We start from the raw sequence: 24,319 nt of genomic DNA, 5'->3' as shown, positions 1-24,319 counted from the left end.
GCGCCCACCATTGCTGAGGCTTGAGTAGGTAAACAAAGCAGCTGGGAAGCTCGAACTGGGTGGAGCCCACCGCAGCTCAAGGAGGCCTGCTTGCCTCTGTAGACTCCACCTCTGGGGGCAGGGCATAGCCAAATAAAAGGTAGCAGAAACCTCTGCAGACTTAAATGTCCCTGTCTGACAGCTTTGAAGTGAGCAGTGGTTCTCCCAGCACGGAGTTTGAGATCTGAGAATGGACAGACTGCCCCCTCATGTAGGTCCCTGACCCCTGAGTAGCCTAACTGGGAGGCACCCTCCAGTAGGGGCTGACTGACACCTCACACGGCCAGGTACCCCTCTGAGATGAAGCTTCCAGAGGAGTGATCAGGGAGCAACATTTGCTGTTCAGCAATATTGGCTCTTCTGCAGCCTCCGCTGGTTTTACCCAGGCAAACAGGGTCTAGAGTGGACCTCCAGCAAACTCCAACAGACCTGCAGCTGAGGGGCTTGACTGTTAGAAGGAAAACTAACAGAAAGGACATCCACACCAAAACCCCATCTGTACGTCACCATCAACAAAGACCAAAAGTAGATAAAACAACAAAGATGGGGAAAAAACAGAGCAGAAAAGGTGAAAATTTTTAAAATCAGAACACTACTCCCCCTCCAAAGGAACGCAGCTCCTTGCCAGCAACGGAACGAAGCTGGATGGAGAATGACTTTGACAAGTTGAGAGAAGAAGGTTTCAGATGATCAGACTTCTCCGAGCTAAGGGAGGAAGTTCAAACCCATCGCAAAGAAGCTAAAAACCTTGGAAAAAGATTAGACGAATGGCTAACTAGAATAACCAGTGTAGAGAAGTTCTTCAATGACCTCATGGAGCTGAAAACCATGGCACAAGAACTACGTGACGAATGCACAAGCTTCAGTAGCCGATTCAATCAACTGTAAGAAAGGGTATCAGTGATTGAAGATCCAATGAATGAAATGAAGCAAGAAGAGAAGTTTAGAGAAAAAAGAGTAAAAAGAAATGAACAAAGCCCCCAAGAAATACGGAACTATGTGAAAAGACCGAATCTACGTCTGATTGGTGTACCCGAAAGTGACAGAGAGAATGGAACCAAGTTGGAAAACACTGTGCAGAATATTATCCAGGAGAACTTCCCCAGCCTAGCAAGGCAGGCCAACATTCAAAATCAGGAAATACAGAGAATGCCACAAAGATACTCCTTGAGAAGAACAACTCCAAGACACATAATTGTCAGATTCACCGAAGTTGAAATGAAGGAAAAAATGTTAAGGGCAGCCAGAGAGAAAGATCGGGTTACCCACAAAGGGAAGCCCATCAGACTAACAACAGATCTCTCGGCAGAAACTCTGCAAGCCAGAAGAGAGTGGGGGCCAATATTCAACATTCTTAAAGAAAAGACTTTTCAACCGAGAATTTCATATCCAGCCAAACTAAGCTTCATAAGTGAAGGGGAAATAAAATCCTTTACAGACAAGCAAATGCTGAGAGATTTTGTCACCACCAAGCCTGCCCTACAAGAGCTCCTGAAGGAAGCACTAAACATGGAAAGGAACAACTGGTACCAGCCACTGCAAAAACATGCCACATTATAAAGACCATCGATGCTGGGAAGAAATTGCATCAACTAACGAGCAAAATAACCAACTGACATCATAATGACAGGATCAAATTCACACATAACAGTATTAACCTTAAATGTAAATGGGCTAAATGCTCCAATTAAAAGACACAGACTGGCAAATTGGATAAAGAGTCAAGACCCATCAGTGTGCTGTATTCAAGAGACCCATCTGACGTGCAGAGACACACATAGGCTCAAAATAAAGGGATGGAGGAAGATCTACCAAGTAAATGGAAAACAAAAAAAAAGGCAGGGTTTGCAATCCTAGTCTCTGATAAAGCAGACTTTAAACCAACAAAATTCAAAAGAGACAAAGAAGGCCATTACATAGTGGTAAAGGGATCAATTCAACAAGAAGAGCTAACTATCCTAAATATATATGCACCCAATACAGGAGCACCCAGATTCATAAAGCAAGTCCTTAGAGACCTACAAAGAGACTTAGACTCCCACACAATAATAATGGGAGACTTTAACACCCCACTGTCAACATTAGACAGATCAACGAGACAGAAAGTTAACAAGGATATCCAGGAATTGAACTCAGCTCTGCACCAAGCAGACCTAATAGACATCTACAGAACTCTCCACCCGAAATCAACAGAATATACATTCTTCTCAGCACCACATGACACTTATTCCAAAATTGACCACATAGTTGGAAGTAAAGCACTTAGCAAATGTAAAAGAACAGAAATTATAACAAACTGTCTCTCAGACCACAGTGCAATCAAACTAGAACGCAGGATTAAGAAACTCACTCAAAACTGCTCAACTACATGGAAACTGAACAACCTGCTCCTGAATGACTACTGGGTACATAACAAAATGAAGGCAGAAATAAAGATGTTCTTTGAAATCAATGAGACCAAAAGCACAACATACCAGAATCTCTGGGACACATTTAAAGCAGTGTGTAGAGAGAAATTTATAGTACTAAATGCCCACAGGAGAAAGCAGGAAAGATCAAAAATTGACACCCTAACATCACAATTAAAAGAACTAGAGAAGCAAGAGCAAACACATTCAAAAGCTAGCAGAAGGCAAGAAATAACTAAGATCAGAGCAGAATTGAAGGAGATAGAGACACAAAAAGCCCTTCAAAAAATCAATGAATCCAGGAGGTGGTTTTTTGAAAAGATCAACAAAATGGATAGACCGCTAGCAAGACTAATAAAGAAGAAAAGAGAGAAGAATCAAATAGATGGAATAAAAAATGATAAAGGGGATATCACCACCAATCCCACAGAAATACAAACTACCATCAGAGAATACTGTAAACATCTCTACGCAAATAAACTAGAAAATCTAGAAGAAATGGATAAATTCCTGGACACATACACCCTCCCAAGACTAAACCAGGAAGAAGTTGAATCTCTGAATTGACCAATAACAACCTCTGAAATTGAGGCAATAATTAATAGCTTGCCAACCCAAAAAAGTCCAGGACCAGATGGATTCACAGCCGAATTCTACCAGATGTACAAGGAGGAGCTGGTACCATTCTTTCTGAAACTATTCCAATCAATAGAAAAAGAGAGTCCTCCCTAACTCATTTTATGAGGCCAGCATCATCCTGATACCAAAGCCTGACAGAGACACAACAAAAAAAGAGAATTTTAGACCAATATCCCTGATGAATATTGATGCAAAAATCCTCAATAAAATACTGGCAAACTGAATCCAGCAGCACATCAAAACGCTTATCCACCATGATCAAGTGGGCTTCATCCCTGCGATGCAAGGCTGGTTCAACATACGCAAAACAGTAAACGTAATCCAGCACATAAGCAGAACCAAAGACAAAAACCACATGGTTATCTCAATAGATGCAGAAAAGGCCTTTGACAAAATTCAACAGCCCTTCATGCTAAAAACTCTCAATAAATTAGGTATTAATGGGACATATCTCAATAAGAGCTATTTATGACAAACCCACAGCCAATATCATACTGAATGGGCAAAAACTGGAAGCATTCCCTTTGAAAACTGGCACAAGTCAGGGATGCCCTCTCTCACCACTCCTATTCAACATAGTGTTGGAAGTTCTGGCCAGGGCAATCAGGCAGGAGAAAGAAATAAAGGGTATTCAATTAGGAAAAGAGGAAGTCAAATTGTCCCTGTTTGCAGATGACATGATTGTATATTTAGAAAACCCCATCGTCTCAGCCAAAAATCTCCTTACACTGATAAGCAACTTCAGCAAAGTCTCAAGATACAAAATCAATGTGCAAAAATCACAAGCATTCTTATACATCAATAGCAGACAAACAGAGAGCCAAATCATGAGTGAACTCCCATTCACTATTGCTTCAAAGAGAATAAAGTACCTAGCAATCCCACTTACAAGGGATGTGAAGGACCTCTTCAAGAAGAACTGCAAACCACTGCTCAATGAAATAAAAGAGGACACAAACAAATGGAAGAACATTCCATGCTCATGGATAGGAAGAATCAATATCGTGAAAATGGCCATACTGCCCAAAGTAATTTATAGATTCATTGCCATCCCCATCAAGCTACCAATGACTTTCTTCACAGAATTGGAAAAATCTACTTTAAAGTTCATATGGAACCAAAACAGAGCCCGTATTGCCAAGGCAATCCTAAGTCAAAAGAACAAAGCTGGAGGCATCATGCTACCTGACTTCAAACTATACTACAAGGCTACAGTAACCAAAACAGCATGGTACTGGTGCCAAAACAGAGATATAGACCAATGGAACAGAACAGAGCCCTCAGAAATAATATCACACATCTACAACCAACTGATCTTTGACAAACCTGACAAAAACAAGAAATGGGGAAAGGATTCCCTATTTAATAAATGGTGCTGGGAAAACTGGCTAGCCATATGTAGAAAGCTGAAACTGGATCCCTTCCTTACACCTTATAGAAAAATTAATTCGAGATGGATTCAAGACTTAAATGTTAGACCTAAAACCATAAAAACCCTAGAAGAAAACCTAGGCAATACCATTCAAGACATAGGCATGGGCAAGGACTTCATGTCTAAAACACCAAAAGCAATGGCAACGAAAGCCAACATTGACAAATGGGATCTAATTAAACTAAAGAGCTTCTGCACAGCAAAAGAAACTACCGTCAGAGTGAACAGGCAACCTACAGAAGGGGAGAAAATTTTTGCAGTCTACTCATCTGACTGGGACTAATATCCAGAATCTACAAAGAACTCAAACAAATTTACAAGAAAAAAAAACCCCATCACAAAGTGGGTGAAGGATATGAACAGACACTTCTCAAAAGAAGACATTTATGCAGCCAACAGACACATGAAAAAATGCTCATCATCACTGGCCATCAAAGAAATGGAAATCAAAACCACAATGAGATACCATCTCACACCAGTTAGAATGGCAATCCTTAAAAAGTCAGGAAACAACAGGTGCTGCAGAGGATGTGGAGAAATAGGAACACTTTTACACTGTCGGTGGCACTGTAAACTAATTCAACCATTGTGGAAGACATTGTGGCAATTCCTCAAGGATCTAGAACCAGAAATACCATTTGACCCAGCCATCCCATTACTGGGTATATACCCAAAGGATTATGGATCATGCTGCTATAAAGACACATGCACATGTATGTTTATTGCGGCACTATTCACAATAGCAAAGACTTGGAACCAACCCACGTGTCCATCAATGATACACTGGATTAAGAAAATGTGGCACATATATACCATGAAATACTATATGCAGCCATAAAAAAGGATGAGTTCATGTCCTTTGTAGGGACATGGATGAAGCTGGAAACCATAATTTTCAGCAAACTATCACAAGGACAAAAAACGAAACACCACATGTTCTCACTCATAGGTGGGAATTGAACAATGAGAACACATGGACACAGGAAGGGAAACATCACACACCAGGACCTGTCATGGGGTGGGGGGAGTGGGGAGGGATAGCATTAGGAGATATACCTAATGTAAATGACGAGTTAATGGGTGCAGCACACCAACATGCCACATGTGTACGTATGTAACAAACCACGTTGTACACATGTACTGTAGAACTTAAAGTATAATAAAAAAAAGTTGTTATAAGTAAAATGCTTATTTAGAAATAGAATGTTTGTCTTTTGGTACTGCAAGGAAAAATTTGCATTTAGACAAGAAGTATTCTCAGCAAGGCAATTTTACTTTGTGTAGAAAGGGTGCTCTTTGCAGATGGAATAATGGCCAGAGCACACTTGAACAATGGAGGGAAGCAATTTTTATCTTTTACGTAGCTTGTTTTTGCTACTGTGTCTTGTCTATTGGCTGGAGCTAGACTTTATAATTTAAACTAAACTTGATTGGCTTCCAATTTAAAACTTTTTAAAATAGGTAAAAGTAATGGAGAAGAAAGGAAAAGAGGAAGTTGCTTATGAAATATTAGAAAATAACAACATTCTTTTTTTTGATTTTATTATTATTATACTTTAAGTTTTAGGGTACAGGTGCACAACGTGCAGGTTTGTTACATACGTATACATGTGCCATGTTGGTGTGCTGCACCCATTAACTCGTCATTTAGCATTAGGTATATCTCCTAATGCTATCCCTCCCCACTCCCCGCACCCCACAACAGTCCCCAGTGTGTGATGTTCCCCTTCCTGTGTCCATGTGTTCTCATTGTTCAGTTCCCACCTATGAGTGAGAACATGCGGTGTTTGGTTTTTTGTCCTTGCAATAGTTTTCTGAGAATGATGGTTTCCAGTTTTATCCACGTCCCTACAAAGGACACGAACTCATCATTTTTTATGGCTGCATAGTATTCCGTGGTGTATATGTGCCACATTTTCTTAATCCAGTCTATCGTTGGACATTTGGGTTGGTTCCAAGTCTTTGCTATTGTGAATAGTGCCGCAATAAACATACGTGTGCATGTGTCTTTATAGCAGCATGATTTTATGAGGAAGGGGCATAGGCTGCAAGCTGGAACATGCTTGTAAGCAAGTTTAGCAGAAATATCTTGGTTAAAGTACAAGGACATAGAATGTACTTATTCTTTTTTATTTAACCACTACATAGGATTAGGCTTAATGAAGAGTTATTAGCACAAAGCAAGGAGGCTTGAAGGAAGTTAGGTTTTAAAAGAAACTATTATTTTTTAACACATGATTTATTCTTTAACAAGGAGGGAAACTTTGAAGAGGGAACTTTTTACTTTCTACAATTTGCTCCTCTTGATTTTATAGTTTTTTTCTCTTTAAACTTTCTTAACATGTCTTGGGTTAGCTGTTTTGCTTGAGTTTTTAAAAGAAAAAGTTTTTTTGGTTGATGAAATACTAGGGTAAAAGGATAGCTAATTGAACTAGAGCACAAGTACTGCTCTAATTATTTGTCAGGGTGTCTAGTAAAGGTGTTCTATAATACTACTATACATCTGCTTTGGGATGAATAAGGGCATACTGATGCATCAGCTCTTGGAAGTGCTTGACCTCACTGCCTCCTGTTTAGTCTCTAAGGATCACCAAATTATTCTCTTGTTGTTGGAGACACGAGGTAAAATTGGTCTTGGAATATGGAGGCTGGATGGCCCTCGGCAGCTGACCCACAGGGTATTGCACTTCAGGAAATAGCAGAGAGAGAGTTTGGCACAGTTCACTATCCCAGGCTGTAGGATTTTGAAAAGGAGCTACCATGCAGTCGATGTCTTGTAGAGGACCATCTGAGTGGAAAGGGGACTAGCTGGGCCTTTGGCCTACCATGCACACAAGCATGACAATTGCTTTTTTTTAGAGTGCAGATAGAATATTTAATCTATTTTAGCCAGGCATTTATATCCTGATACCCTGTTTTAATTGCTATTGTTTGATTTAGATTTTCTTTTACTATAGAGACTTTGGTTTTGTCACTGTGTTTGGGAGGAGTGATTGATGGAGAAGTTGAAGTAGCAATAAAGCGCATTTCAAAAATTTCTCTAGGATTTTTTTTTTTTTTGAAATGTTGGCTCTTATACTATAAATACTTACAGGAACTCATTATGTCTTCCCAATCTGAGGAAGTCCAAGAGGGACAGAGATATTTTTTTTGAAGTAGTAAGCTGTCTTTGGTTATGTTAATCTCTATAAGGTATAACTAAACAGGCATCAAAAGTAATAACTTGAGATGAGTTAGATCTAGTTCATTAATAATAAGATGGGGAGTAAAGGGAAGAAAAGAAAAAGAAAAGATAGATTGAGTTTTTCTTAGCTTTAATTTGATAGGGCTTAACCTTGGAACAATGGCTCATGATTCTGACGGTGATGATGCTTTCTTGACTTGGGTGTGATGTGTCTGTCTTTTTTCTGCTGTGCGAATGACAGTCTCAGTGGTTAGCAGCATGAGGCAGGGTCATCCCGAGACTGGCTTGAGTTTTTGGTTTTGTTTTTTTTTTTATCTTTTGATGATGACATGGTCTCCAGGCTGGTGCTGGTTTACCAGAAATTTTAGGGGTGGTACTTGTGTTAAAAGACTTTTAGTTCTGAGGGAAGGGAAAGTGGAAGATAAACTAAGTCTATAATTTCTGAGAAGCTGCTTTTTTTGTTTTAAATGTGGGGACATTAGCAGTGGAATGTAAGTAAGGCAATTTATAGGTGTCTCTTTGATTTTATAGTCTCTAGTGCCTTTTTGCTGAGAAATTTTCTTTTTTTATTTTTACTTACATCTGAGGGACTCTCTGGGGCTCCTTATTTTGTCAGAACTCTGCATATCTTGGGGCTTAAGGCCCCATGGTGACACCCCTTGCTTCATCCCCACTTAGCGTCGCCTAGGGGATGCGACAGCCCTGCCCACTCTTAAGGTCTCCACCTCCCCGTGGCCTTCACTGCTCCTGTGCGTTGCGGCTTTGGGAATGAGGGGCTTTGTGCCTCACCTGGCCGCCTTCAGACTTTGCTCCTGTCCGAGCCCTCGCTGTCTGGCCCCGGCCTTGGGCTGGGCTGTGCTGTCTAATGGCCACTTGACCCCCTCCCCTGCACAGGAAATGTCTGTTCAAGGTTAGGTTCCCCCATCAGCTTGTGCTGCAGCCTCTCTAGGAGCCACTGGAGGTGGAAACTTGTTGTTAATAACTTTGCGCTTGAGGGCCCTTAATGGGTTTTTTGATGCAGTTGGAGCAAGATTTCCTTTATAAGGGGTTTGGATAATATTTCTCTTTGGTTTAGCAATATTTATTTTCTTTTTGAATTTTCATTAGCACCTATTTTTTTAACCTTTTAATGTAGGTAAAAATCCATATTTTTATGCCTCCTTATAATTCTTTTAGTAAAAGTATATTTCACTTTCCTTACATGCTTTGCACATAAACTGTTTCTTTAATAGTTTTACATTTAGGACACCTAATTACTTTTATACAATATTCCTTGCATAAATTCCCTATTATAACATTTTTTACAACTTTCATAGGCCATCTTTGACGTGCCTCAACTTTCTGACTTCTTTTAACACTATTTCTTTCCCCAGTCACACCTTCTGTGTCTTTCTGTAATCTCTGTCTCTTTCAGCCTCTCTTTCACTTATTCTCTCCCTCTGTCTCTCTCTCATTTGCTGCTCTCTCTCTCTCTGTCATCCCGTTTCCTTTTTCTTTTCTACTTAGTCTTTTGGGTTGGGTGGGATTTGTGTGGCCGCAGTCTGGGCCCAGGCCACGCCAGCCCAGAGGCTCAGCAGATGCCCGGCGCAAATTGCACAAGTAATTAACCCTGGGCTAGAGGGCCCCTTTGTCTTTCCTCCTTACCTTCACATCCGTAGCCGTTACACACTTACTTTGACCTTCTCCTTTAAAGTACTGACTTTGCTTTCTTTCTCTTTGCATTCCTGAGTTCCCTTTCTTCTTTCACCTCTTCTAGAAAACTTTAAAACTTTGCCAAAAGATTTTTGCTTTCTGTCTCTGCCTTTCTCTTTCTCTTTCTCTCTCTGCTGGTCTTTCCATGCCTCTGCCAGCCACCTACACTGCTGTTCTCCTCTCTCCTTCCCCTCCCGCTAGGGAGTGGCTGGCGGGAGTGGAGCTTAGCCTCTTTCTTCCCCTGAGAAGACGGGAAAGGGAAGTTCTAAATATTTTTTCCTACTACCAGAGGTTTGTGTGAGGTTCAATCTCCCCCTAATGGGGATTTTTCACCTCTTTTTAACCTCCAAGACACCCCGACTAAAGAATACTTCACTCGCCTCCTGCAGCTTTTCTTTCCTTAGTCCTGACTAAGGAATGCTTTATCGCCCCTGTGGTTTCTCTTTCCTTGGTATGTCTTAACCAAGGAATGCTTCACTGTCCTGCAGCTTTTCTTTCTTTAGTCTTGACCACCAGTGAAATTCTTTACCAGCTTTTCTGGTGTTTCCTTCCTTGGCTCATGCATGAGGTTACCTGGTCCATGTGGTATGTGAAGATCTTTTACTCTAGGTTGCCGGCTGGTTTCTTTCTGCCTTGCTGAGAGTCTAGGTTTATTTGTTGCACCGGGTGTGACTCAATTCCTTACCCCTGAGGCCACTGCAATGAGGCAGTGGGGCGTGTCTTCATGAGAGAGGAAGAGAATGTATCCCCGTACGGGCCACCATTTTGTTATAAGTAAAATGTTTATTTAGAAATAAAATGTTTGTTTTTTGGTACTGCAAGGAAAAATTTGCATTTAGACAAAAAGTTTTCTCAGCAAGGCAATTTTACTTTGTGTAGAAAGGGGGCTCTTTGCAGATGGAATAATGGCCAGAGCACATTTATGTTTTATGTAGCTTGTCTTTTCTACTGTGTCTTGTCTCTATTGGCTGGAGCTAGACTTTATAATTTAAACTAAATTTGATTAGCTTCCAATTTAAAACTTTTTAAAATAGGTAAAAGTAATGGAGAAGAAAGGAAAAGAGGAAGTTGCTTATGAAAAGACTTAGAAAAGTAATAACATTCTTTAATGAGGAAGGGACACAGGATGCGAGCTAGAATGTGCTTGTAAGCATGTTTAGCACAAATATCTTGGTTAAAGTACAAAACATAGAATGTACTTATTCTTTTATATGTAACAGCTACATAAGATAAGGTTTAATAAAGAGTTATCGGCACAAAGCAAAGAGGCTTGAAAGAAGTTAGTTTTTTAAAAGAAACTATTACTTTTAACACTTATGATTTATTTTTTAATAAAAAGAGAAACTTTGAAAACAAAACTTTTTACTTTCTACAAATGTCAAAATAGAAAATGCGGAGGGGGTATCTGGAATCGAAGTGGTGGCCTCTTGGTTTGTAGTCTAACACCCCACCCCTGAGCTATGCCCCCTCCTGCTATTGTGGGGTTCAATTAATGTCTTTGACTTGTACAGTCACACCCAGATGACCTATGCGTTGCCACTTCGCAATGGAAGCTCCTAGGAGCTGCCAGGCCTACCTCAGTGAAAACTCATTGACCTTGTGCATAACAAGAGGCAGTGTCCCCTTCTCAAATACCCTGGATCTTGTGTCTTCGCTGCCTTGAGTCCTTGGTTGCGGGCAGCAGCCTGGAAAAGCACTGCCAGTGGCTGCTAGAATGGCCTTGAGAGTCAACCTCCAGTACCTGTTATGGTGGGCATGTACAAGAGAAACTGTGTGACCGAGGTGTCTATCCTAACACACTTAATGACAGAGTTAGGTCTGGCTCTCCTAGCCCAGTATTCCATTCAGGGCAGATTCAGCACAACTGCAGTCTAGGACAAAAGATGATTCTTTCAACTTTTACTTCTTCAGTTAATACAAATGAAGAATGATAGAGAAGGAGCAACTCCAAGAAATAGTGAGAAGTGTGTAGCTGAGTAGATTTCCCAAAAGCATTAATAGGGCCAGTGTTACCATAGTTTCATGACCAAAAACTGTTGCTACAGAACAACTCCACTTGGCTTGCATTGTTTTTCTTAAGTGACAGGGTATTTTTCTGTCATCCAGGCTGGAGTGCAGTGAAACAATCATAGCTTACTGCAGCCTCTAACTCCCGGGCTGAAGCAATACTCCCACCTCAACCTCCTAAGTAGCTGGGACCACAGGTGGGTGCCCCCATACCCAGCTAATCTTTTTTATTTTTTTGTAGAGATGAAGTCTCACTATGTTGCCTAGGCTGGTCTGAAACTCCTGGCCTCAAGTGACCCTTCTTCCTTGGCCTCCCAAAGTGCTGGAGTGACAGGCATGAGCCACTGCTTCCAGCATCCCATGTGACCTTTTCTGATGACAGACAGAGCCCCATCCCACCTAGAAAGAATACTTGGAGTAACACTTGGGTTATACCTTTTCACCTCCTCAGCTGTGCCAAGGCCCTACTTCTGCTCTTGTCACAGGAGCTGGCAAACTCTTCTTCTGTAAACGGCCTTTCCCTGCTACTGGAATTTTCTCCTTTACCCACAGGACTTTGCCTTGTAGTCCTGGCAGCCTTCTCAGAAGGCAGTCAACAGCCAGCCACTTCTCTCTGCTGCAGGCCCAAGAGCCTGGGGAAACACTGACTTCCACCATGATTTCTATGATAATGTTAAAATCCTCTTGCTTTTCCTTTTTGGCAGTAGGGTGGACTGCCAGGGAAGATGCAAAGAATTGATGAGCCTGCAGGAGCACAGAACGCTCTGCTGGCAGGGCTGGGCAGCAGCCTGAGTCCAGGAAGGCTGGGACTTGTTTGGATTCTGGAGGCCAGGTGTCAGTAGTACAGTGATGAACGGGCATTTCTAGGAAGAAGTCTTAGGCCCCACACATGGTGAGGAATCAGGAAGGAGACTGCCTTGCACAAAGACAGGATACAAGAAGGGCTGAGCTCTTCCAGAAGGAGTGAAGAGAAGACAGGAAAAAGAAAACCAGTCCCGAGAATCCCTAGCCACGGGCTGAGTGACTGGGGTTTAATGGGCCCTGAATTCACAGTCTTTATTGGGTCTGAAAAACTACAGGCAACTTATTTCATGTTGCAGTTGGATGTGTAGTGCTATAGGCTCCTGGCCAAATGAAAATCCTCCCCAGACTGCATCAGGAACTATGCTTCAAAGAATGCCTATCGATAGAGTTTGGACAAGTACAATAAGCCTGGGAGAAACAGTGCAGCGTGGATACCAATGGTGTGGATTCTGAAGTCAGACAGCCTGGCTTCAAGGCCTACCCCACTAGAAGACCTTGGGCAGATTACTGCCCTTCCCTTTCTTCAACTTTGTTACTGTGAAATGTGGGTAATAAGAGTGTCTACTTGATGGATTGTTGTGTAGATTGAATGAGTTAATCTGTGTAAAGCACTGAAGACAGGACTGGCACGTAGTAACTTCTGTATACTGTTTGCTGAACAGTTAAAAAGTTCGCAGGGAAATCAGCTGACATTCATGAGAGCCAATAAACACAAGTAAGAAAATAAAACCTCATACAGCAGGAGAGGGTATCTATTGCACATAACTGATGAAGGGTTTATACCCAAAATATGTAAAGAATTGCACAAGACAATTAAAAATACACAACTCAGTAGAAAAATGACGAAGAGACTCGAGCAGTTACTTCATACAACTGGACATCCAAGCGACCAATAAGCCTATTAAAAGATGCTCAAACCTCATGAGTCTAGAAAGGTGCAAGTTAAACCACAGTGAACTATTGCTAGAATTGTTGCTAGGTTGGTTAAAATGAAAGAGACTGATGTTACTCAGTGATGGTATGTGGAACCATAGTAACTCTCATCCCCTGCTAGTGGTAGTGTCATTTGCTGTATCCACTTTAGAAAACCATCTGACATTATTGGCTAAAAGTAAAAATAGAAACACCCTCTTCCTCAACAGTTATATTCCTTGATACAGACATCAGAGAATGTATATGTACATGCAAGAATGTTCATGGCAGCATTTCTTTTAATAGTCCCAAACTGGAAACAAATGTCCATGAACAGTAGGATAGGTAAATAAGTCATGGTCTAGTCATACAATGGAATCCCAAACAGAGTTTTTAAAAGGACAGAGTACCACTACAGTGGAAAAACACAGATAAATCCTATAGACATAAGATTGAGTGAAAGAAAACAGTTTCAAAGGAGTAACTATGTATGATTCCAGTATATAAAATCAAGAACAGGCAAGACTAGTCCATGGTGATACAATAGTGTTACCTTTTCGGGAGAGAGGGTAATTGGGAAGGGGACCCAGGGGGCCCTCTGAGGTGCTAGAAATTTTCTGTATCTTGATTTGGGAGGTGGGTACATAGGTATGTATGTGTACAAATTAATTGAGCTGTACGTTGAAGATTTCTGTACCTTACTGTGAGTTGTATTTCAATTAAAAGTAAATAAAAAGGAAAACATTGATACTTTTCATTTCTGGAATGTCTTAGTTGATTTATTTTAAAAATATATTTGGTGAATTTTGATAGCCTTTTGCTCCTCAATTCAGTTTCCATTTCTCCTTTAAGAACACTTTTGTCTTGCTTTCAGTTTTCAATTGAAAGCTTTCACCATCCCACCATTAAATAAGATTTCTTTTTATGTTTTAGGTAGACACATCATGAAGATGTGTTGGATTTGATTGGATGTTTTTCTTCATCTATTTTAATGACATGATTTTTTTCCTTTAATCTGTTGTCTTAGCTTGGATTTCCTTAGAAGCAGACCCTGAAGCTAGAATTTAAGAGCAAGTAGTTTATTTGGGAGGTAAGTTCAGGAAACACCAGTAAGGAGTGGGAAGTCAGAGAAAGGAAAGAAGCCAATAAAAGGTGGTGTTAACCTAAATAACAGACGGAAGCTCTCTGAAAGGAAATTATATTTATTTAGGGAATGAGCATTGGCAATGGGAATACAGGTGTCACAGTAAACTATGTGTGTTTTTGAGGAGGTCATGGTAAGGGAAAGTTTTTAAAGGCAAAATGAGAAGGATTATATAAATTGTTTTGGAGAAATAATTCTTGGCTCTAGCAATCAGTAACAAGGGTGGCAACAGTCCAAGGCTAGTCAGGCTTTTGCTGGGCAGATGTCCTTGCAGAAGTATTTTTTGTGAGTGTGTAAGGTTACAATGGCCTTTGTGCAAGGTTGTGGTTTTTACAGTCTTTTGTGATAGTTCTTGTTATCAGGAATTCATATATAAAAGCTCTACCTTTGTGGCCTTCCCTGGCTCCATTTGCCGGGTTTTAACACAAGTGACTCCATTTTCATTCTGACAACTTTCACAGTGGGATATTGGACAAGTTACCATTATAGGCAACTGGAGCTTAATACCGTTGGGGACTTTGTAAGATGTATAACATGCTTGAGGGTTATCCTCTCCAAAAGAACAAGGCAACTTGTGTATTTCTCCATCTACTGCTATCAGTCATCGGTAGAGGGTTGCTTTCGAAGGTTGGGTCCTAATTATTTGGTACTTTCAGCCTGTTACATGTTTGGGCAGCCTGAGAATGCCCTCAGACATAAAGTTACAGGTGCTGACAGTTGAAATTGGGGCCTGCATGCACAGAACTGATAAGTTCTGAAGGAATATCAGTGGGGCAGCAACAGCATTTGCTATATCCTATAGTGTGGTGAATTACAGTAATAGATTTTTCTAATGTTAAGTCAAGCTTACATTCTGAAATGATCTTAATTTGGTTATGTGTTATTTTTTATGTAATGCTGGCTTTGATTTATTAATAGTTTTGCTTATGGTTTTTAAAGTCTATTCTATATTAATATGTGAGATTGGCCTGTTTTCTTACATTGTCTTTGTTATTTTTTATAATAAGTTTAACCTCATAAAATGAGGTGGGAAAGGGACTGCTGCTTTTAGTTTTCTATTCTCCAGAAGTGTCTGTGTAAGACTTACATCGTTTCATTCTGAAGTGATTGGTATAACAAGTGTTTGGTATAACAAGTGTTTAAACTATCTGTGCCTGGAAGTTTTTTGTTACTTTTTTAATGGCAGAATGTTTCATTGAAAATACAAGTTCCTTAATTGTTCCATGATTAGTCATGATTTTTACTTCTTCTTGTGTCAATTTTGATAAAATTAAGCCAGATGTCGAGGACAAATACCACTAGTATAAGCATAAAGTAAGATTTATTTGGGAAAAGTTACAAACAATGCATCAGAATGTCTGCAACTTCCCAAACTCTCTTTATTTCAAGGAAACATGTTCTTGAGCTGGACACAGTTAGACACACGGTAGCAAGTACTCCAGAAGAGACGTTCTTTCTCTGTGCCACATCAGATATTTACAGGGAAGTTTGGAGGGAATACTTAATAGTAGAAGCTTCTTGGCAAAAGAATCAGCCTTGCTGGTAGACAGGAGAATGTGGAGCATTGCCACCAAGTGCTTATGAGGTTGGCATAATGGTACCTGTATCAGCTAAAAAATTGTATTTTTTTCCTTTGAACCAGTTTAGTACTGCTAAACTAAAGTAGATTAATGAGAAGGGAGAGAGAGCCAAGACCATCAAGCAGACAAAGAATTTCTCTCTTCATGTAAGTTTTACTTTTCTAGAAACTTTTCCATGCCATGTAAATATTACATTTCATTGGCATAAAATTGCTCATAATAATATCTTACAATCTTTTTAATTTTGGGGGAACTATAATAATGCATCCTTTTCTCTCCTGATATTGGTTATTAGTGTTACTTTGTCAATCTTGTCTGGGTTATTACTTTTATTGTTTGTTTCAAAAAACAACTTTAGCTTCATTGACCCTCTCTCTTGTGTGTTTTCTACTTAATTAATTTGTGCTTTCATTAATTAATGTATTACTTTCTCCCTTATTTTTTCCTTGGATTCATTTTACTATTATTCATGCCTTTTGGGAGAGATGCTTAGTTTGTTCATTTTAACCTTTTCTTTCTATAATACTAGAGATGCATTAAGACTGTAAATTGCCATGTAAGTACTCTAGAGCTGCAACTGATAAATTTTAATATCTAGTATTTTCATCATTTAGTTCAAAATATTTTATAATTCCTATTACAATTTATTCTTTGACCCATGGGTTATTTATATGTAGAATTTTTAGTTTCTAAACACAAAGATTTTCTAATATTTGTTGGATTTGTTAGTTATTTGATGTTATTAATTTCTAGCTTAATTTTATTTTTGTCAGAAAACATGCTGTTTATGATTTCAATACTTTGGAATTTGTTAAGACTCGCTTTGTGGTTCAGTATACAACTCATGTTTGTCAGTGTTCCACGTGTGCTTGGAAAAAAATGCATATTCTGCATTTAAGTGCAAGATTCTTTACATGTTAAACAGGTCAGTTTTGTTAGTCATGTTGTCCAAATCGTCTGTGTCCTTTTGATACTATGTGTGCTTGTTTACAAATTCACGAGGGTTTTTAAGATCTCTCACTTGAAAGATCCAGCAGAGGTTTATCCATTTCTCTTTTTCAATTTTGTTTATTTTTGCTTATTATATTTTGAGGCTATGTTATTAGGTATACCAAATTTAGAATTACTCTTTTTGGTGAATTGAACTTTCTGTCAATGCAAAATGACTCTCTTTATCCCTGGTAATGATTCAGGCCTCAAAAACTATTTTCTCTATTACTTACTATAGCTACATTATATGTAGTTGTTATAGATACAGATATCTTTTCCTGTTCTTTTATTTTTAACATTTCTGTATCCTCTCTTGTGAACAAGATACAATTTTTTTTAATCCAGTGAATTTTTTTGTGTTTTAAGTAGGGAATTTAATGGATTATATTCCATGTTCATACTGGTAACACTTTTGATTAAATTTCCTATCTTGGTCCGGCAAGTTCTAGTTTCTTTTTATCTCCTTTACGGTCTTCTTGTGGACACTGTAGAAAGAGATCCTCACAGTTTAGAGGTGAGATTCCTACCACAGCCAAGCCTGGAATTAACTAGTAAAAATCTGCAAGAGTCCCCTGAGCGAATGGATTCCTCTGCTGAGGGGATCACCCAAAAGATGGTTAATGTGTGACTGACAGAAGGTAGAACTGGGCTGTACACGAGGAAACCAGTAACCTGGTCTACTCCTGAGAGTGACCTAGACACCTTGGGCCAGGATCTGCATAGAATGAAAACATAAAGAGCTGGAGAGTACAATCATTGGCACTCTCTTTGTGTTAACCTAGGCAGGGACAAGTGTATCTGGGGACATCAGTGTTCTCAGTGCCCATTGAGAGGTGGACTCCAGAGAGGAGCGGCACCCAATTCCAGCTCCAACAAAATGACACTCCTCCTCTTCGCACTGTCCAAGTCCCTCTGCTCGGACTGCAGGCTCATCAGTGACCTGCTGTCTCCCCACACTCTGTCCTTGCGATGCGTTCCCTCTGCTTTACAGAGAGAATCAAAGCTGCCACACCTCAGCTCCTCGGCTTCCCACCCTACCACGGAGACATCTCTCTTCATCTGTTCTCAGTCCCTTCCCTTCTGTCTCAGAGAAAACATTCTCCTCTTTCCTTCCAAAGCAAATCACCCCATCTGTACTCTTGTCTCTATAACTGAATTGATTGTGTTCTTTCTCAATCTCTGCTTCCCCCACCCAAAGCATGCTCAGTCTCTATCCTAAGTTAGGTTAGATTGCCCACTTTCCCTTGTAGCTACTGCTATATTTCTCTCTGGAAAAAAGAAATTTTTATTTCTCGACTCTTCTTTCTCACATTTTCCTCAGCCTTTACATCTGATCAGTCACCAAGTCCTACATATTTTATCTTGAAAGTTTCTCTGGAATCCCTTTTTCTCCTCTGCATTCCTTTCCTTACTCTGTGTCACTGGGCAGGGTAATTAACTCTATAAGCTTCAGTTTCTTCTTCTTAAACACAGATAACATTTCTTATGACAAATATAACTTACGATAAACTGCCTAGTGTGATATTAGCACATAACAGGGGTTCCGAAAATAACACCATTTCCTGTCCTTGTCTTTTGGGAAACTCCAAATCATTCTCTGTAGTGTCTCCAAAATGACCTTCTGAAACAAATGACCTGACCTGGTTGCTTCATTTTAGGGCACAGGACTCCTGTAGCCCACAGAACAAACTCAGAATTCAGCCGGTCACGGTGGTTCACGCCTGTAATCCCAGCACTTTGGAGGCCGAGGTGGGTAGATCACCTGAGGTCAGGAGTTCGAGACCAACCTGGCCAACATGGTGAAACCCCGTCTCTACTAAAAATATAAAAATTTGCCGTGTGTGGTGGCACAAGCCTGTGATCCCAGCTACTCGGGAGGCTGAGGCAGGAGAATCACTTGAACCCGGGAGGCGGAGGTTGCAGTGAGTTGAGAATGCACCAGTGAACTCCAGCCTGGGTGACAGAGTGAGACTCCATCTCAAAAAAAGAACGGTTGGAATTCCAAAACATCTCATACATGCAGAGTCTTGAGTCTAGTCACCCGCTTCCAAGCCTTAGGCTGCAGTCACAGTCTTCCCACCCCCTGCTCTGCACACTCATCACACAAACACTTCCAATCTACTCCATATGCAAGCAGGCACACCTGCAAGCATGAACACATACAGGTGCACACACACCCAGGCACACACACCTGGGTCTTTCTTTTAGACCCAGAAAGCACTGCAACAACGTTGCATCTTTGTTCCTCTGCGTTTTCTGGCTGGCATGCCCTTCCCACACACTCACCTTCAAGACCCCACTGACGCTCACTGTCTGCAGAGCTGTCACTAAGTCCACACCCGGAGGTATCCCGGCTGTAGTCCACACTGCTTTCTATCACAGCTAATATCATTTTTTGTTGCACATCACTTTTTCTCACTAAATCGAGAGCTTCTAAGAGAGAACAGGGATGACTTGTGCTAGATTTCACTCATCTCTGTATCCTCCCACAAAGACTGGCCTCCTGATTACTAAATATTTGAGAAATTTAATTGAGGGGATTGACTGCTGACTCTGTATAGGTCAATAGCTCTCTGGAGTTTTGTTCTCACCCAGAGGGAGAAAGATGAGGGAGAGGAGGCTGCAAGGCTGCTGGCTGAGGGTTCCGTGGCCTTGGTGGAAGGGGAGTAGGCAGCAGGAAGAGAGACACATTTTCAATGGGGTGGGTCAACCCTGCTGATGTAAGATGGCAATGTCATAGCTGTGGTTTCAACACTGAAGAAATACTAGTTATGGCTGGGCGTGGTTTCTCATGCCTGTAATCCCAGCTGTTGGGAAGCTGAGACGGGAGGATTGCTTGAGATGGCTAGGTCTAGACTAGCCTGGGAAACAGCAGGACCCCATCTCTATTAATTAAAAAATAAAAAAATGAGCTGAACATGTGGCACGGGCTTGTAGTCCTACCTACTAGGGAGATTGAGGCAGGAGGATTGCTTGAGCCCAAAAGTTTGAGGGTACAGTAAGCCGTGACCTATACCACTGCACTGTAGTTTGGGTGACAGAGTGAGACCTCTGTCTCTATAAAAAATTAAAAATTAAAAACAATTCGCTGGGCATGGTTGCTCGTGCCTGTAGTCCTAGCTATTCAGGAGGCTGAGGTGGCAGGATTGCTGGAGCCCAGGAGTTGGAGGCTGCAGTGAGCTGTGATCATGGCACTGTACTCCAGTCTGAGCTGGACCTGAGCTGAGTGTGAGACTCTTGAAAGAAGAAAAGGAGATGTAAGGAAAAAGGAAAGGGAAGACAAGGGAGAGGAGGGGAAGGGAGGGAAGGGACTAGTCAGAAAAATACAGTCATTCACCTGTTGAGTGACATGTCAATGGCTTGGATCTAGTGCATGAGACTACAGACTAAAAAATCTCTCTGTTTCAAATCTCCATGCCGACTCCTTACTGTTTTTTTAGTGGTTTTTTTGTTTGTTTGTTTGTTTGTTTTGTTTTTGAGACAGAGTCTCCCTCTGTCAACCAGGCTGGAGGGCAGTGGCACAGTCTTGGCTCACTGCAACCTCCGCCTCCTGGGTTTGAGTGATTCTCATGCCTCAGCCTCCTGAGTAGCTGTTATTACAGGCACCCGCCACCATGCCTGGCTAACTTTTGTATTTTTATTAGAGACGGGGTTTCGCCATGTTGGCCAGGCTGCTCTCAGACTCCTGGCCTCAGGTGATCCGCCTGCCTCGGCCTTCCAAAGTGCTGGGATTATAGGCATGAGCCACCAGACACAGCCAGGCATTGTTCTGTGTGCTCTAAACCCTCACCAAGAAAACCTCTGAGGTGGTACGATTATTGTCTTCCATTTGACAGATGCAGAAACTGAGGCCCAGCAGAGATTGAGTAACTTATGCGAGTTGTCACTCACCTCACACGCCCCAGCAAGCATCCAGGAGAGCCTGCCTCTTGGAATAGAAATCAGACATCCCACAGGAACTCTGAGGTTTTCCCACTGCTGCCAGATGTATGCAAGGAACACGTGATCTTCGTAATTCCAGAGCGGGGCAAACTGCTTGGCACCTCTTCAATAGGTGACATTCAATGAGTAAGTGACTGTGACTACTGTGACTCTCCTGACAGCCTCAGCCTCCTCAAGTATTCCCCTCCAGGTTGTACTTGTCCTTGTTAGCACAGCCTCATGAGACTGAAGTCCCTACCCCTCAAACCTTAGCTTGCCAATTCTAAGAATTCAGAAATGCAGCTCTGCACTCTGTGGCTGGCTCTGGACCAAAACAAGCACCATTTCTCCTTGACCAGGAGTATGGGATGGAAGGTAGAGAGAGGGTCTGGAGGGGAGGAGCATGGAGGGAGTGGCTAGGGAGGTTGGAAGTGCTATCTACTGAGCAATTCCTGAGACCTGCTTTGAGTGCACTGTACTAATGAGGTGGGGGATTCCAAGACGAGGCAGCCTTCAGGGCATCTGGATGATTATAATGGATTGAGGTAAACCCTATACAGATAGAAGGAACATCAGTGTGGCCCATGCCAATCTAAGCTGTATGTGGATAAAGTTCGCTACCAAAATTAAACTTAACAGAAGGGAGAACCTGGATTTGAACCAGGGACCTCTTGCTCTACAGTCAAAAAGCTCTAGCCCTGAGCTATACCCCCATGGCACACTGAGGTTACCTAGTTAATACCTTTCATCAGTGTGGGAGCACTCAGCTTTGTAAAATTAAATAATGGCTTCCCTCTAGGACTGACTTTCTGGAAGCTGCCAGACCTGATTCACAGCTAGACACCTTCCCTCAGCTCTGCAGCTCACCAGTCCTGTCTCTGGTGGAGCCGTGAACAGGAGAAAAGGATGGAGGCTGCCTGTGGAACCCCCAGCCATTTCCCATTGTTTTTTGGGGTTAACCCAAGAGCCGGCCACTGGTCTCCAAAACAGTCCACAGATTCCAATCTGACCTCCCAGCCCAAATTCCTTTTTCCTGCAGTAAAGACAGAGTGGACAAATATGATGACTGATGATAAACTGCCTAGCATGATATTAGCACATAGTAGGGCATAGTAGGTGTTCAAAAAATAACACCAGTTCCTGTTCTTGTCTTTCGGCAAACTCCAAACCAGTATCTGTAATGTCTCCTAAATGACCTCCTTAGACAAAGGACCTGACCTGGTTCTTCATTGCAGCACACAGGACTCCCTGTGGCCCACAGAACAAAGTTGGAATTCCCAATCATCTCATACGAACAGACTCTTGAGTCTAATCCCCCACCTCCAAGCCTTGGGCCACAGTCACAGAGTGGGCTGTAATTCACGTGCAGCCGCAGAGCTACAGGAGTTTGGTCGTAGGGGCAGCACTGCAGAGCCTCTGTCTCCCTTGTTAGAGTAGCTGAGCCAGGCTTTTGGCCTACAAGGTTGAAGCAAGGGTGTGAGTGAGCCCTGCGTGGGAGCAATTCTCCAGGGGAAACATCTGCCCTCCATGGGAATGCTGTGTGCTGTGATGTGTCTCCCCAGGTCTGGCCACCACTCCAGTGCACCAAACTGCTGCTGTGGGAAGGAGCCAGGAGAGTGATAGCTTGGGGTACCATTCCCCATCTGTTTCTGGGGGAGCCTGCTGCAGTACTACTCTCTGGTCTGCCCTGGAAAAACCCAGAAGCATACTGCATCACAGCTTGAGAAATTACATCTATAGGGGGAGCAGGGAGCTAGATACCATGAATACCAATAATATGAGGGATACCCGTGGAACTGGTGCTGGAAGAGATGAAAAGAAGTTATGCATGGAGGCAGGTTGCAGCTGGGTAGGCCTGAGCTGTAGCTTCCAGTTCCAGGGAAAATCATAGGCGGAATGGATGAAAAGAAACTGGAATATGACCAACAGCTTCTGTGAAGAACATAACAGCTTGTATGAATAGAAAAAGTGCAGTGGGCACCCAGATTTGAACTGGGGACCTCTTGATCTGCAGTCAAATGCTCTACCCCTGAGCTATACGCCCTGCTTGTCATAAGTGTCTAATAAGCACCTTTCATGTTGGTAATCGCACCCAGCAGTCCTATAGCACATTGAAAGTTCCTGCTTACTTTTAGAGAGTAAGACCAGCAACTGATTTTACCATAAACTCACCCCAGAAAAGTCCATCCCCAATTCCCAAACCCTGGACCCTGCTCACATGCCGGCACATCTCCTTGCCCTCCCTCAGTTTGTGGTGACAGGAGCAGCTGGGAGGAGTGTTTCCGTTTACTGCTGGAACAGCCTTTAGGTCTACATGTCTGATTTCTTCTTGTTACACTACAAAATAGCAGTTTGGAGACACAAATTGAGACATGCAATACCGACATCTGAAGATCTCTCAATCTGGAATCTGTCCATTAAATCCAGTTCATGAAACAGGGAAGTTCCCAGGCCCTGACATGGATCAGAGAGTAGTCCTGGGAAGCATCATGGAGACAACATAGCATGAGGACCACACAGCTCCTCCAGGTTTTGGCCAGAAAACTCCGCTGCTAGTGTGGAAAGCTCTACCCTGAACTACACCCCCATTCTCAGTGCATGGCTATTTTAAACCTTATACATATTTTTGTTTTCATCTAAGTATCTTGTGCAACTATTTTTGAAAGTCAAATATTGCTTTTAAAGCTTATAATAAAAGAAACCTCAGTCTTTTGTATTTTCCTCTTGCCACCCAGAGGCAGCCACTCTCCACCCTTTTGGCTGTTTCTTCTAGTCTATTTGCCTCTATAATTTTAAGTAATATAAATATGTCATAATATGGTATGTCTAATTTAATCAAATTTAGACATCATTAGCTGACTTATTTTTTTTCCCCCTTTTTTTATTTTATTTTATTTTATTTTTATTTGTATTGATCATTCTTGGGTGTTTCTCGCAGAGGGGGATTCGGCAGGGTCATAGGACAATAGTGGAGGGAAGGTCAGCAGATAAACAAGTGAACAAAGGTCTCTGGTTTTCCTAGGCAGAGGACCCTGCGGCCTTCCGCAGTGTTTGTGTCCCTGGGTACTTGAGATTAGGGAGTGGTGATGATTCTTAAGGAGCATGCTGCCTTCAAGCATCTGTTTAACAAAGCACATCTTGCACCGCCCTTAATCCATTTAACCCTGAGTGGACACAGCACATGTTTCAGAGAGCACAGGGTTGGGGGTAAAAGGTCACCGATCAACAGGATCCCAAGGCAGAAGAATTTTTCTTAGTACAGAACAAAATGAAAAGTCTCCCATGTCTACTTCTTTCTACACAGACACAGCAACCATCCGATTTCTCAATCTTTTCCCCACCTTTCCCCCCTTTCTATTCCACAAAACCGCCATTGTCATCCCGGCCCGTTCTCAATGAGCTGTTGGGTACACCTCCCAGACGGGGTGGTGGCCGGGCAGAGGGGCTCCTCACATCCCTGTAGGGGCGGCCAGGCAGAGGCGCCCCTCACCTCCCAGACGGGCGGCTGGCGGGCAGGGGGCTGACCCCCCCACCTCCCTCCCGGACGGGGCGGCTGGCCGGGCAGAG

General features: G+C 42.0%; 1 non-coding gene and 1 pseudogene across 3 annotated transcripts in view; one reads left to right on the top strand and one right to left on the bottom strand.

Annotated features, from left to right (window-relative positions):
• Positions 1–24,319, top strand: part of ZNF767P (zinc finger family member 767, pseudogene) — a 77,637-nt pseudogene that overhangs the window by 45,284 nt on the left and 8,034 nt on the right. Inside the window, exon 4 of one of the 2 annotated variants that reach the window (NR_027788.1) lies at positions 20,668–20,899. The exons of the other annotated variant lie outside the window; for it this stretch is intronic. The product of NR_027788.1 is annotated as a zinc finger family member 767, pseudogene, transcript variant 1 (transcript). The remainder of the gene's footprint in view (positions 1–20,667; positions 20,900–24,319) is intronic. 2 annotated transcript variants of the gene reach the window in all.
• TRC-GCA22-1 (tRNA-Cys (anticodon GCA) 22-1) lies at positions 22,727–22,796 on the bottom strand. The gene has a single exon. It is a non-coding gene; the product is annotated as a tRNA-Cys (tRNA).

Source organism: Homo sapiens, chromosome 7, assembly GCF_000001405.40.
Source record: "Homo sapiens chromosome 7, GRCh38.p14 Primary Assembly".
Taxonomy (NCBI): Eukaryota; Metazoa; Chordata; class Mammalia; order Primates; family Hominidae; genus Homo; species Homo sapiens.
This window is presented reverse-complemented; position numbering and strand designations above follow the sequence as displayed.